Raw genomic sequence first — 12771 nt, 5'->3', positions numbered from 1 at the left:
TTCGCGTATCCCTTAACCATTAATATATGACAAACTATGCTGTCATTCTTATTAGGTTCCTTTTTTTTTAATGCGTCATTGATTATGTTTCTGAATGTTGCATCCCTAACTTCATTTTTTCCATAACCCTTTGGTTAGGTGTGATTTTGCATAGTGCAGTGAATTGCAGAAATGCATGCTTTGTCTTGTAGCAGAACTGACTGTATATGTTAATGAAATGTAAGGGACAAAACACCCTGATAGACACTCTGATAAGTTGCCACAGTATTTCTGAGCAGAGATACTCTAATTTCTTGTGAAAGCTTTCTCTAACACATTATCCAAAATAAGGTGTATTGGCAAAAAGAGAAGAAAAGGAAAAAAGAAAAAACTATGCGTGACACGTTTCTTCTTGCACTTACCTTTTGGAGACAGAGGCAATGTTGTTTCTGAAGGCTTATACTTCTATTAGTAGCTCTGCCACACTTAAAATGTCTCAAATCTACAGTTTGGAGGAATTTTGCTCCTGAGAAATTATCTTACCAAGTTATTTTAGGACCTCAAACCTGAAACTGGCTACTATCCAAGTATATTATGTGAATTAGACCTTTCCATTTGAAAACTTAATTTATTTTCAGAAAGCTTTGTAAGTAAGTCTGGATATCTACATTTGCATAATCACCACTCCCCCCTTCTCCCTTCCTCTCTCTGGGGCACAGAAGTGTATGGTTGCCAGATACATTTGGAAGTGAGTGTATGTGACTCGCAAACCCCTAGAATTGGTGTTCTAGAGCTTCTGACACTGAACACTAATGTATTTTTCATTAGTGTTTAATGTTGGGAAATCCCATTTCATGGATCCCAAGTATTAAATTACTTCATTTGGGAGGGAACAAGTGCATTCCCCATCTTTTTCCTGAGGTGAAAAAAAGAATGAATCTGAGATCATTTGCATTTCATAAAGGCTTAAGGTCTGGATGTATTCCACTCAGTGCAACAATCCAATATTGTGAAAGCGTTTAAAGACAATATGAACTAGCAGGGAAACTTCCACATATTTGAAATGTGGAAATAAAAATACACAGTAAAATAGATGAAAATCAAAATATCCATATATGTATATGGATATGCATTATACGTAGATAATCTAAATGACTAGACAAAGCCATTCTACCTGCAACAGAAATAATAATACTATGATTGCACTTTTCAATGAAGTAAAATTTTTATCATTTTTCATAATAGAGTTGCAAAGATTGTGAGGTAATCTAGCAGGCAATAAATCTGATGTCAATGAGATATTCTTTTTCTTTTGAACAACTGTACTGAAGAGAAACCCTTTCTCTTGCACAACTGTGCTGACAGAAACCCCTACTGATTAAGCTAGTAAATGTCATGCATGTTGTTTAGAGGGGTTCTGAGCACAAGACCTCAAATTGACTCCTCTTTTTCTTCTAACCTTGGACTTGCACCTTTTCCTCCCTTCCCTCGGGTCATTAAGTGCTCTCCCACACGTGGCATTAGACAGTAGATCTGTAGTGTGTCACTGGTGCTTTTTTCACATCATGAAGGGGCATCATTTTAAGCACCTTCTTCAGAGTATCATTGTCCTTTGTCATGGCTCTGGGAGGCATTCCACTAAGATCTTCAAGGGGAAAACCTACTTCTCTGTCAATTGAATAGATAGCCAGTGGCTACATCAGAATGAGAGCCAAAGGGAACACAGAAGGTGATTATCTGGGTCCCATGATCCAGTCAAACCCTCTTCTATTAGCAAAAGATTTTAGAGATCTTGCTCTGTACCCAGTACTTTGCTCAATGTCATACAGCATACAGGAGAAGTAGAAGGAAACCTTATTCTAAGAAACATGCAGTCTATTTTGGGAGAAAAGGCAAAACACATAGAATATGATGGGGATGCTATAATATTGCCAACTCAGGGATCAAATTTATGGCAAAAATAGTAAATGTTAAAGTCATAGAAGAGAGTCATGTTTATGTTCCGAAGTAGCATAATGGAAAGAGTGCTGGGCAGAGTACTGGGATTTCAGATAACATAACCCATGGGGGTGGGGGAGAGTTTTAAGTTCAGTCTATCTGTTAAAATGTCACTTAATTTACAAAAACACGTACAGAAAAAGAGTAAAGAAATCATCTGGCATGGGCAGGAAAAAGTATCCAAGTTGAATGACCTTGAGCAAGTCAGTTCACCTCTTTGGGTCTTGGGTTTCTCATCTGTAAAATGGCGAGTGGAGAGAGGCAAGCTTAACTAGGTGATCCCTATGATTTCTTCCAGCCTTATAGTTTTATACTTTTATACTTTTATTACATTCAATAAAGAAATAGTCAATAAAATGCATGCTCAAGCACATTTTACATGAATTAAATTTAATTGTTAGGAAAAGGGATTATTATTATCCTTATTTTACAAATGAGGGGTTAAAGCTTCTAAAGGGTAGAGGCAGAACTTAAACCCAGATTTGCCATACATCCCAGTCCAAGTCCTCTCCTCTTTCCACTGTGCTGTGTTGCATACCATTACACCACACTGCCTTCCTTTCTACATTTAAGGAGTCATGGTCAAAGAGAAAAGCAGACGTAATAAACCTAAGTGAAAAATCAAGAAAATGTGGACAATTCTTTGTCTCTAAATCTTATGAAGGAAAAGAGAACTCATATTACAGAGATCTGCAATACAGGGAATGGAGCATTAGCCAGAGAGTCAAGAGATGTGAGTTCTAGTCCTGGCCATGCCACTAACTTGCCAAGTGTCCCTGGACTTGTTTTCTCATTTGCAAAATGAGAGCATCTCCAAAGTCCTTTGGGTTTCAACATTCTATGCTTCTTTGAGTCCCCAAAATGGAAAGCACACTTCTAGTTACGGTTATGAGTATGAGCCCAGAGGTTTAAAAAAAGTTAATGAGATGTTAAGTATTTGTGATGATTTTTTTTAGTGAATATGGGATTTGAGCTGGGCCTGGAATAATGGGGGTGACTTAGGAAATTCATGAAACATTTTAGTTCTTTTAAAATATACAAGGATAGCTGACCATCTAAAGGAATCCTTTTTATAAAATGAATGATCACCACTCCCTTCTCTATCTATCTTTTGTACAATTCAGATTTTCATATAGTGAGTTTATTTAAAGGGAGAGCCACCTGTGCTAGAAAATACAGCCAAGAATTTGTCATGCTCTTGGGAGGCTAATATCGTTTTTAAAAATAAAAAACCATGCCAATGTCTTTAAAATTCAAGTTTGAAGTAAAAAGATTGAAAGAAGTGATTTTTTTTTTTTCTGTGATCAGCCACTGCAAAGTGGGCCTCAGCACAAACCAGCTGAGTCCTTTGCTAGGCATCGAAAGCCTCTGGCGTTTTTCTGCTTTTCAACTCTCAGTCATTTGGGAGGTGGGACAAGGCCATGCTGTCCACAAAGTTTATCCAGAACGTGCTGGTGTTACAAGAAATCACTTGACATCTATTATGTTTCTCCTGTGGAAGAGAGGTGGCTATCAGCTACAATAGTGATTTCTTTTTAAAGGGGTTTAATTGAGGTATTTCTCATGGGCCAAATTCTAACTCACTGTCTTTACGTGTGCCTGCCAGGAAAACAATGGAAAAATACCAAGCAATAGCAACAATAGAAGCCTGAGGACCGCTGTCCCAGGCTGCCCCTCTGCAAACGAGCAGAAAAAAAATCTGTTTCCTTGCTGCCTAAGCTGCCGCTAACATGGCAGAGCTCCTAGAAAGGTGTGGCAAAGGAAAAAAGTTGCAGACTGTGCTTTGCATGACCATGGAAATATGTATAACAACTTGAACAAACTTCTTTTAGCCTACCTTTTACAAGTAGCACTCTAGTTGGGGGGCTGACAAAGAGATTAGTTTCACACAGCCAAGCGACACACTCGTGAGCTGTTTTTCTAAAATATGGATTTGCTCCCGTATAGGCAAGCTCACATCCTTTCCTGAGGTAAGCCAGAAGGTGGCCTTATATTTTTATTTGAAGTGCCGAATGATTTTCCTTGCAACAAATTTGTGCCTTTTACTAGCATTTTCTGAAGTGAGAATTTTGCAACTGATGGAAATCAGCTCACTTCTGTTCTGTAACTTGGTGTCTTGTTGATGATTTATTTGTTCAGTAGCAGAAACTATGACAAATGGTGTGAGGCGGCCTCATTTACTTTTTAGCTGCTATAGCCCTAAAGAATTTACATGTAAATGCAACTGTGAATGTTTTACATTTCATAAGCATGCTGCACGTGCTTTTGTAAGTTAAGTGGCATTTTTACAGATAGACTGAACTTAAAACAACCTCCCTCACCCCACAGGTTTTATTATCTGAAATCCTGGTAAGTCTGTCATGCTGGTTTCCCTGACTGCCAAGTGGGAGAGTAAGTCTCTATTTTATGTTTCTCTTCTCTCCTCTTTAGATGTGCAGAGCAGCCCACACAACCAGTTCACCTTCAGACCCCTCCCACCGCCACCTCCGCCTCCTCATGCCTGCACCTGTGCCAGGAAGCCACCCCCTGCAGCGGACTCTCTTCAGAGGAGATCAATGACTACCCGCAGCCAGCCCAGCCCAGCTGCTCCAGCTCCCCCAACCAGCACGCAGGATTCAGTCCATCTGCATAACAGCTGGGTCCTGAACAGCAACATACCATTGGAGACCAGGTACTTGAGCTATTATTGATCCCACTAAACTTAAGTATTGGCAGAGGATGGTTCTACTGATTGCAGAAACTCATTTCATCACACACATCTGCAGAGACACACAAATGCACAAACCGATACACACCCAGATGCATGGGCAAAAAGGAAGACTCCTTCACAGGCGCAGATGTGCAAACAGACACAAACATCTAGATCCAGCCACAGCCACAGACCAAAGCAGATACACGTGAAAAGATGAAGCCGCAGATACATAAACACCCTGCTGTCACATATCCACAAAAACATAAAACAAAGCAATTATCTAAGCTGTCACTGCAGCCTCAAAGTGAAAGGCAATTGTCCCTTGTTTTAAAAAACTGCAGTATTACAAGAAAACCCAAACACAACTGGAGGAGGAGTGATCATTTCTATTTTATTTATTGTAAGATTCTTTGAAAAAATAAGTTGCCTTCAAACATTAAAAAAAAAAAGGATCAGCCTCATGTAATGGAAGTATATGTGTAAGTTTAAAAACTAAATTCTGCCTTTAGGGTGAAGCTTTTGGTCTTTTGAGCAAAAAAGTTTGCCTCTGTTTTTCTTCACATGTTTAGATTTCTAGATTGACTCCTCAGAGCTTTGTCATGATAAAAGTTCTACTCTTTGCAGTTCTAGGTCCCTTGATCATGATAGATTTTAGCACCAGATACAATTAATAAAGAAATTATTCATCATTTCTAGTCACTTTCTTAAATCAAACATTACAACTTTATATTGACATAGAAAAACACTAACTAATAAAACATAGATTCTATTTTCTTTGAAATTCAAGGACTTCCCCTTGTTTTTTTGTGTGCCTTATTTAGTTCTACAATGGAAGCTTTTATTTTTGTTTTATTTTTATAGATTCGGGGATACATGTGCATGTTTGTTACATGGATATATTGTGCAGTGGTGAGGTTTGGGCTTCTAGTGTACCCTCACCTAAAGGGTGAACATTGTACCCAATAGGTAATTTTCTAACCCTCACTCCCCGCCCATCCTCCCTTTTTTGGAGTCCCAAGGGTCTATCATTTCCATTTTTATGTCCATGAATAGCCATTGTTTAACTCCCAGTTATAAGTGAGAACATGTGGTATTTGATTTTCTGTTACTGAGTTAGCTTACTTTGAATAATGGCCTACAGCTCTATCCATGTTGCTGCAAAAAACATGATTTTTTTTTAAGGCTCTGTGGTACTCTATGGTGTATATATACCACATTTTCTTCATCCAATTATTCATTGATGGACACTTAGGTTGATTCCATGATTTTGCTCTTGTGTATTGTGCTGTGATAAACACATGCATGCAGGTGTCTTTTTGATATAATGATTTATTTTTCTTTGGGTAGATACCCAGAAGTGCATTGATGAATCAAATGGAAGTTCTATTAAAAATCGCCATACTGTTTTCCAGAGGTTGTGTTAATTTTTATTCCCACCAACAGTGTATAAGCATTGCCTTTTCTCCACATTTTCACCAATACCTGTTGTTTTTTGACTTTTTAATAATAGCCATTCTGAATGGTATGAGATCGTATTTCATTGTGGTCTTAATTTGCATTTCTCTGATAATTAATAATGTTGAGCATTTTTTCATCTGTTTGTTGACCACTTATACAGCACCTTTTGAGAAATGTCTGTTCATGTCCTTTGCCCACTTTTTAACAGGAATTTTTGGGTATTTTTTTCTTGTTGATTTGTTTAAGTTCCTTGTAGATTCTGGATATTAGTCCTTTCTTGGATGCATTGTTTGCAAATATTTTCTCCCATTCTGTGTGTTGTCTGTTTACTCTGTTGATTATTTATTTTGCTATGCAGAAGCTTTTTAGCTTAATTAAGCCAAATTTGTCTATTTTTGTTGTTGTTGCATTTGCTTTTGAGGTCTTGGTCATAAAATTTCTTGCCTAGGCCAATGTCCTGAAGAGTTTTTTCCTAGGCTGTCTTCTAGTATTTTTATAGTTTCTGGTGTTATATTTAAGTATTTAATCCATCTTGAGTTAATTTTTGTATACAGTGAGGGATAGGAGTCCAGTTTCCTTCTACCTATAGCTATCCAATTTACAGAAACTTTTTCTAAAGACATTTGTATGTAAAAAATGGGTATAATATACTACTTGATAAACAATGTCTGGTATCACCTTCTAATCTGATCTCTGGGAATTGGAATGGAAAGAGAAGGACTAGTCAACTCTCCTAAGACTGGTTGTTATTGTTTTTGTTGTTTAGCAGCATATTAAATTAAATACCAACCATGGCATCAGAGAATATTTCACCATCAACAAACTGCAAGTACTATGGCCCATGTCCAGGAAACAGTATCATCCATCACTTACCAGATTAAATGGTTTCATAAAGGGTGATTTCTGCTACATTCCAAGAGAAAAATATAGCAGTCAGCACCTATGGTGACAATAACCCAATTAGAACTATACTAGTGATAGAGTTTCTGTATTTATTTATTTATTTATTTATTTATTTATTTATTTATTTGAGACAGTCTCCTTCTGTCGCCCAGGCTGGAGTGCGGTGGCAAGATCTTGGCTCACTACAACCTCCACTTCCTGGATTCAAACGATTCTCCTGCCTCAGCGTCCAGAGTAGCTGGGACTATAGGCATATGCCACCACGCCCAGCTAATTTTTGTATTTTTAGTAGAGACAGGGTTTCACCATATTGGCTAGACTGGTCTTGAATTCCGGACCTTGTGATCTGCCCGCCTCACCCTCCCAAAGTGCTGGGATTACAGGCGTGAGCCACCGTGCCCAGCCCTGTATCTTTTCTTTTCTTTTCTTTTCTTTCTTTTTTAATTGAAAGGGGGAGGTGAGTAAAGGGTAAAATGCAAAGAACAATGTATATCTTCTTCAAGGAGTTTTCAAACAGTGGTTATTTCCTCATTTTACTTTTAGTTCATTTGCAGAGCTTAGTGATAGAGAGCTGAGGAAACAACAGGGCAATATGGTTAAGTAGCAGTTCTGACAAGCAAACACACTCCTTTCGTCTTTGAAGCCAAATAACAGAAAATCTGGGAGAGAGTGGGGAATGGGTTCAGGCAAATGGAGAGAGAAAATTATTCTTATTTGAAATGTACATCTAGGCATGTTTGTACAAACTGCACCCACGGACCTTCTGTATCTATGCAAGGAATATATTAATTGGTCTCAGTTTCTTAAGACGCAGAGAAGAACATAAGTTTTCATGTAAGAGTGAACAGAGTACCTTTTTAGTACATTTGAACATATATTTAGCATCACAATGATGATTTTTTAAAAGCCAGAAACGTTATTAGCTCTATCAACTAGCATTGTTCAAATATAGCCTTTAAAATGTTCATTTCTCATGTAGTCAATAAAGGTAACTGTGGGTATCCAGGAACTTATACATGAACTGTGTAACAGAACCTGTCTGAGCCTCAGCCTCCTCATCTGTAAAAATGAATATACAAATGCCTGACTTCCTAATTAGGAAAATCAAACTAACGTAGTAGAAAGTGCCTCATATACTGTAAAGCACTACACAATTAAAAGGTAACATTACTATCCCTACTAAGTGGCCACTTGCCTTTGCATAAATATCTCCAAAATAGGTAATTGGCTTATTCCTAAGTTATTCCACTCTACCTCAAACAACTACTAGAAGATTCTTTTTGAACCAAAATCTATCCCTTCTTAACTCTGCCCATTTTTCTCAAATCTAATTTTAGGGTCTCACAGAATAAGTAAAATTCCCCTTACAACTGACAGCCCTTCACTATTCTTGAGTCCTCTATTCTTTGTGCTAAATGTTTCCCCAATTCCTTCAACCTGTTCCTCACATTAATGGGTTTCAAATCTCCCTTCCTGGTCTCTTTCTTTAGAACACTCCAGTTTGTCCAAACTGCTCTTGAAATGTAATGTTCAAGGCTGAATGCAGGTGTGGGTTCTTATTAGCCTCTCTGGTTGCAAGAAGCCAGAGACATTCAGGTTGCCTCGAGTAATTGAGAACATCTTTTCAGTGTATGTGTTGTCAGTCCCCGGGAACGCGGGAAACTCTGGTCAATCCCCAAAGGAAAGGCAAAGACTGTGGATCTCTAGCATTAATAAGACTCAGCAGTTCTCTGCATTTTTGCTCCTCTCTGTCTGTTTCTTTGTCCAATAGCTTATTCTTTCCATCAGCTCAATATTTATTTTGTCTACCACATAGTTTCTACTATCTCATAACGATGTCTTTTCTCCACTGTACCACATGACTCCAAGAGTACCTCCTCACACCTCTCACCTCATCCCTTCAGCTGCATGTCCCATTGCTAACTGCATTATTATCTTGGTCACTGTAGGCTCAAAACCCTAAGAGGGAATTTGATTAGCCCAGTTCATCCCTTTTATAGCAGGCTGTGTTTCAGTTTTTTGGCAAGCCCTGGCAATTATTCTCATAGTCAACTGAGGCTACGGGGAGAGAAAAGTCATGTGATTAAAATAAACAACATGGCCATCTATGGTTGTCCCTTGAGGAAGGACCGTGAGCAGATTTGATGTTCCTTAGATGGGACTCTCAGCAGTCAGTCATTTTGACTGATTCACTGAGGATTTTATGCTATGACCAACAATTAGCCACCTCTCTTGTTCTAATTATGTATTTTCGTTAATGCTGTCTACTCCAGTATCAGCTTTTTTGGTGGCCACATGACACTATCCATACACATTGAGAACACCGGAAACTAAACCCCAAAGCCTGTTTAACATGTTCTGAAGCTAAACCACGTTTTATTTATTCTGTAAGTACATAGTTGATTCTTTTTCAGTTTTGTGTTTGGTATGGAAGATAACAGTGGAAATATATTTGGAGCCTTGATTTGGCCTAATTTGATCTCATCTTGTTAGCATGTGGAAATGTTGCTGAGTTCTAATTCTACCATACAAACTATTTGCTTTTGCTCTCAGAATTATGTCATCTGTAGGCTTGTTAGGTATGCTTCCCTCTTTTTTATGTAAGTTATCGATACAAATGTTACATAAGACCAGATTAGGGTTAGATCTCTGTGCATGCCACTGGTGACATTTATCTATTAGGCAACATTCTTTTACTAACAACCCACATTTCTCCATCTTGTTCATAGCCATATTATGGGAGACCTTGTTAAATGCCTTGCTGATATTCAGATATAGTATGCTTACATTCTTACCGATCTTCCAATCTAATAACCATGTCAAGAATAGAAATGAAATGAGATTGTCTAACATAACTTGTTCTTAGAGAATTTATACTGCTTGCTTTCTTATGGTTACTACTTTTTTCCTAAGCGCTCACAAACTGTTCTTTTATTAACCTGTTGTAGAATTTTGTATTTAATCAACCTGTTTCTTGGTCTAGTCTAAGGAGTCCATATGCTTCCTGTTTATTTTGAAAACTAAAGCCAATGTTTTCTGTTTCTAGTCTCCTGTCACACTTCAACCACACTACAGTTGCTAAAACTTTAGCAACTGTGACAGGGTAATCCAATCTCCAAGACCTCTGACCACTCTGGGATAGAATTTTAATTCATTTATTATAGAACAGCCAAATGCCTTTTAATGACTGCTTTGCCTATTTTAGCTTCAATTTATGGTTACTGATATTGATTTTACCATTTCAAGTCTATCATCATTCTTTTTCACAAAGAAAACTAGTACAGTAGTTGAGAAGGCCTCTCAGATATTGGCCATCCAATAACAATTTCATGGGTTGCATGTCTCTCCTACCCTTGCTCTTCTTGGTTTAAATATATTTTTTAAAAAGCACTTTTCTGTCATCTTTAGCAGTTTTTTTCTCAAGCCTCAGGCTCATTTGGGGTATAATTCTTCTTAGCATTATTTTCATCATGCCCTCTTAAACTTACTTATTTTTGGTTTTCATCCCTTTATTTTGGCACCTGTTCTTTTGAAATCCAAACTGAATGTGAATGGATAACACCCAGTACAGACACACTGGTTTCAACAGGTTAAAAAAAATAAAATATAATAACTTCCCAACTCTCTTAATTCATCTCCATATTAGAGTATCTCAGGGCATGAAATTGTACCTACTTTACTTCAGCAAGCTCTTTTCCTAAAGTCTGGGATTTGGGCCTTATAAGGTACTTATGGACTCTAAGATAAAATACTTCACTTCCTCTAAAGGTTCCTATCACCTTCAACTCACCAGTTTCTCTTTTTCTAAGTCAGTCAGAGAGGCAAGTTTCTTATTTTCTCTACCTTTTGGGAGGTGTAGTCATTAACACAAAAATTTGGGAACTTGCCATATATTTGCATTTTGCAAATCGATACAACTAGCAGATGTTTATGGAGTTGAAATCACTCATGTTTACTACCCTTTCCTCCTACGACGCTTTTGTGATCTGTGTTGAAAATCAGCATCCGTTGTCTCCTTCTGGCCAAGTGTCTTATTATAGACTCTCCAATCCACTACCTATTAGTCATGTGACATTGGGCACATTAATTATCATCACCATGTCTCGGTTTTCTCATCTGTAAAGTAAGGATAATAGTAAAACCTAGCTCATAAGGCCATTGTGAGCATTAAATGAGTTCCTAATTGCAATGTGCTTAGAGCAGCCATGAACATAATGAGCACTCCGTAAATATTAGTAATAATAATAGCAATAATAACACAAGAGATTATTTTACTTTTTGTCCCTATTGCTATCTTTATCTAACTAAAGGTATTTCTACCCTTCCATTCATAATTTCCTCAAAGTAAACATATACAACATCATTCCACTTCCTCTCTTAGCATGCTTTTAAATAGAATACACTTGGCCTGGCCCGGTGGCTCACACCTGTAATCCCAACACTTTGGGAGGCTGAGGCGGGTGGATCACCTGAGGTCAGGAGTTCCGGACCAGCCTGGCCAACATGGTGACACCCCATCTCTACTACAACTACAATAATTAGCCAGGTGTGGTGGCAGGTCCCTGTAATCCCAGCTACTCAGGAGGCTGAGTCAGGAGAATCGCTTGAACCGGCGGGGAGTGGGGATGGTTCAGAGGTTGCAGTGAGCCGAGATCGCGCCACTGCACTCCAGCCTGGGCAACAGAGGGAGATTCTGTCTCTAAATAAATAAATAGAATATACTCTTTCACCACCATGTTCCAAATCATCAGAACCATCCCCCTTCTCCCACATTTTGACGATACATACCTGTGAGGCTTTTTAAGACTGCCCTGTGATCAATCTTCAAAACAGCTTGTGCATTGCTGCCTGCCTTCTGTGTTATTCAGAAAAACAATGCCCTGTCTACCCAGTACATTGGGGATTGGGCCCTGCCCTGAGCCCTCCCTTACTCAGACGTCAGCCTTGCTATCTCCTTCTCCAAGCCTTCTTCTCAAAATTCCCAATGTCTAGATTATATTTTGGGGGCAGGGTGTTTTTTGCAACCCGGAAAGATGGGCACATTGCCAAAGATGGAGAGGCTGGGTGATGTGTGCAAGCATATGTACTCCAACATCCCTGGACTAAACTACTTATGTTATTGTGAACTTAGACACATGACATAACTTCCATAGACCTGAATTTCCCTGTTTGTTTTGTGTCAAAAATGACAGACCCTACCTCATGGGGCTGTTTTCAGAACTGAATGAGATAATATATGAAAATGTCTACTCAGAGCCAGGCACATAGAAAGTGTGCAATAAATATTACTATTTTCAATTCAGTATAATAGCCTGGCACAGACCTGCTGGCAAGTAGATGAATTCAGAGTTACTACAATTCAGAGAGACACAATAGCTTTAATCTGCTGTAAAAACATCCAGTATTCACATATACTTCCCAGTCTATGGATTATTGTGCGTGTCCTGCACAGCGAGGCATTCAGCAAGCATTTACTAGTTATTCCTGGTGCACTGCCGCTTCTATGAGGAATGAGAATCCCTGTATTCCAGAAATGCATGGTTTAGTACTAGTAACAATAACGATATCTAACTATGCTAAACAGCATTACTATATGCCAAGCACTATTCTAAGCCCTTATGAATCAACTTCTTTAATCCATATGCTAGTGCCCATGTGGTACGTACTATTTAGTGTTGCCATCCTCAATTGAGAGATGAAGCAACTGAGGTACAGAGAGGTTAAGGAACTTTGTAAAATCC

At 38.4% G+C, this 12771-nt stretch overlaps 1 protein-coding gene across 13 annotated transcripts in view; it reads left to right on the top strand.

The window, feature by feature from the left end:
* The window catches only part of TENM1 (teneurin transmembrane protein 1), an 828410-nt gene that overhangs the window by 462708 nt on the left and 352931 nt on the right, over positions 1–12771 (top strand). For all 13 annotated transcript variants that reach the window (XM_017029210.3, XM_017029211.3, XM_047441760.1 and 10 more), the window contains one exon: positions 4408–4648. In XM_017029210.3, coding sequence (XP_016884699.1) covers positions 4408–4648 — 241 coding nt within the window. The remainder of the gene's footprint in view (positions 1–4407; positions 4649–12771) is intronic.

This window comes from Homo sapiens, chromosome X (assembly GCF_000001405.40).
Source record: "Homo sapiens chromosome X, GRCh38.p14 Primary Assembly".
NCBI classification, from domain to species: domain Eukaryota; kingdom Metazoa; phylum Chordata; class Mammalia; order Primates; family Hominidae; genus Homo; species Homo sapiens.
The sequence above is the reverse complement of the archived record's forward strand: the minus strand, read 5'-3'. Positions and strand labels throughout refer to the sequence as shown.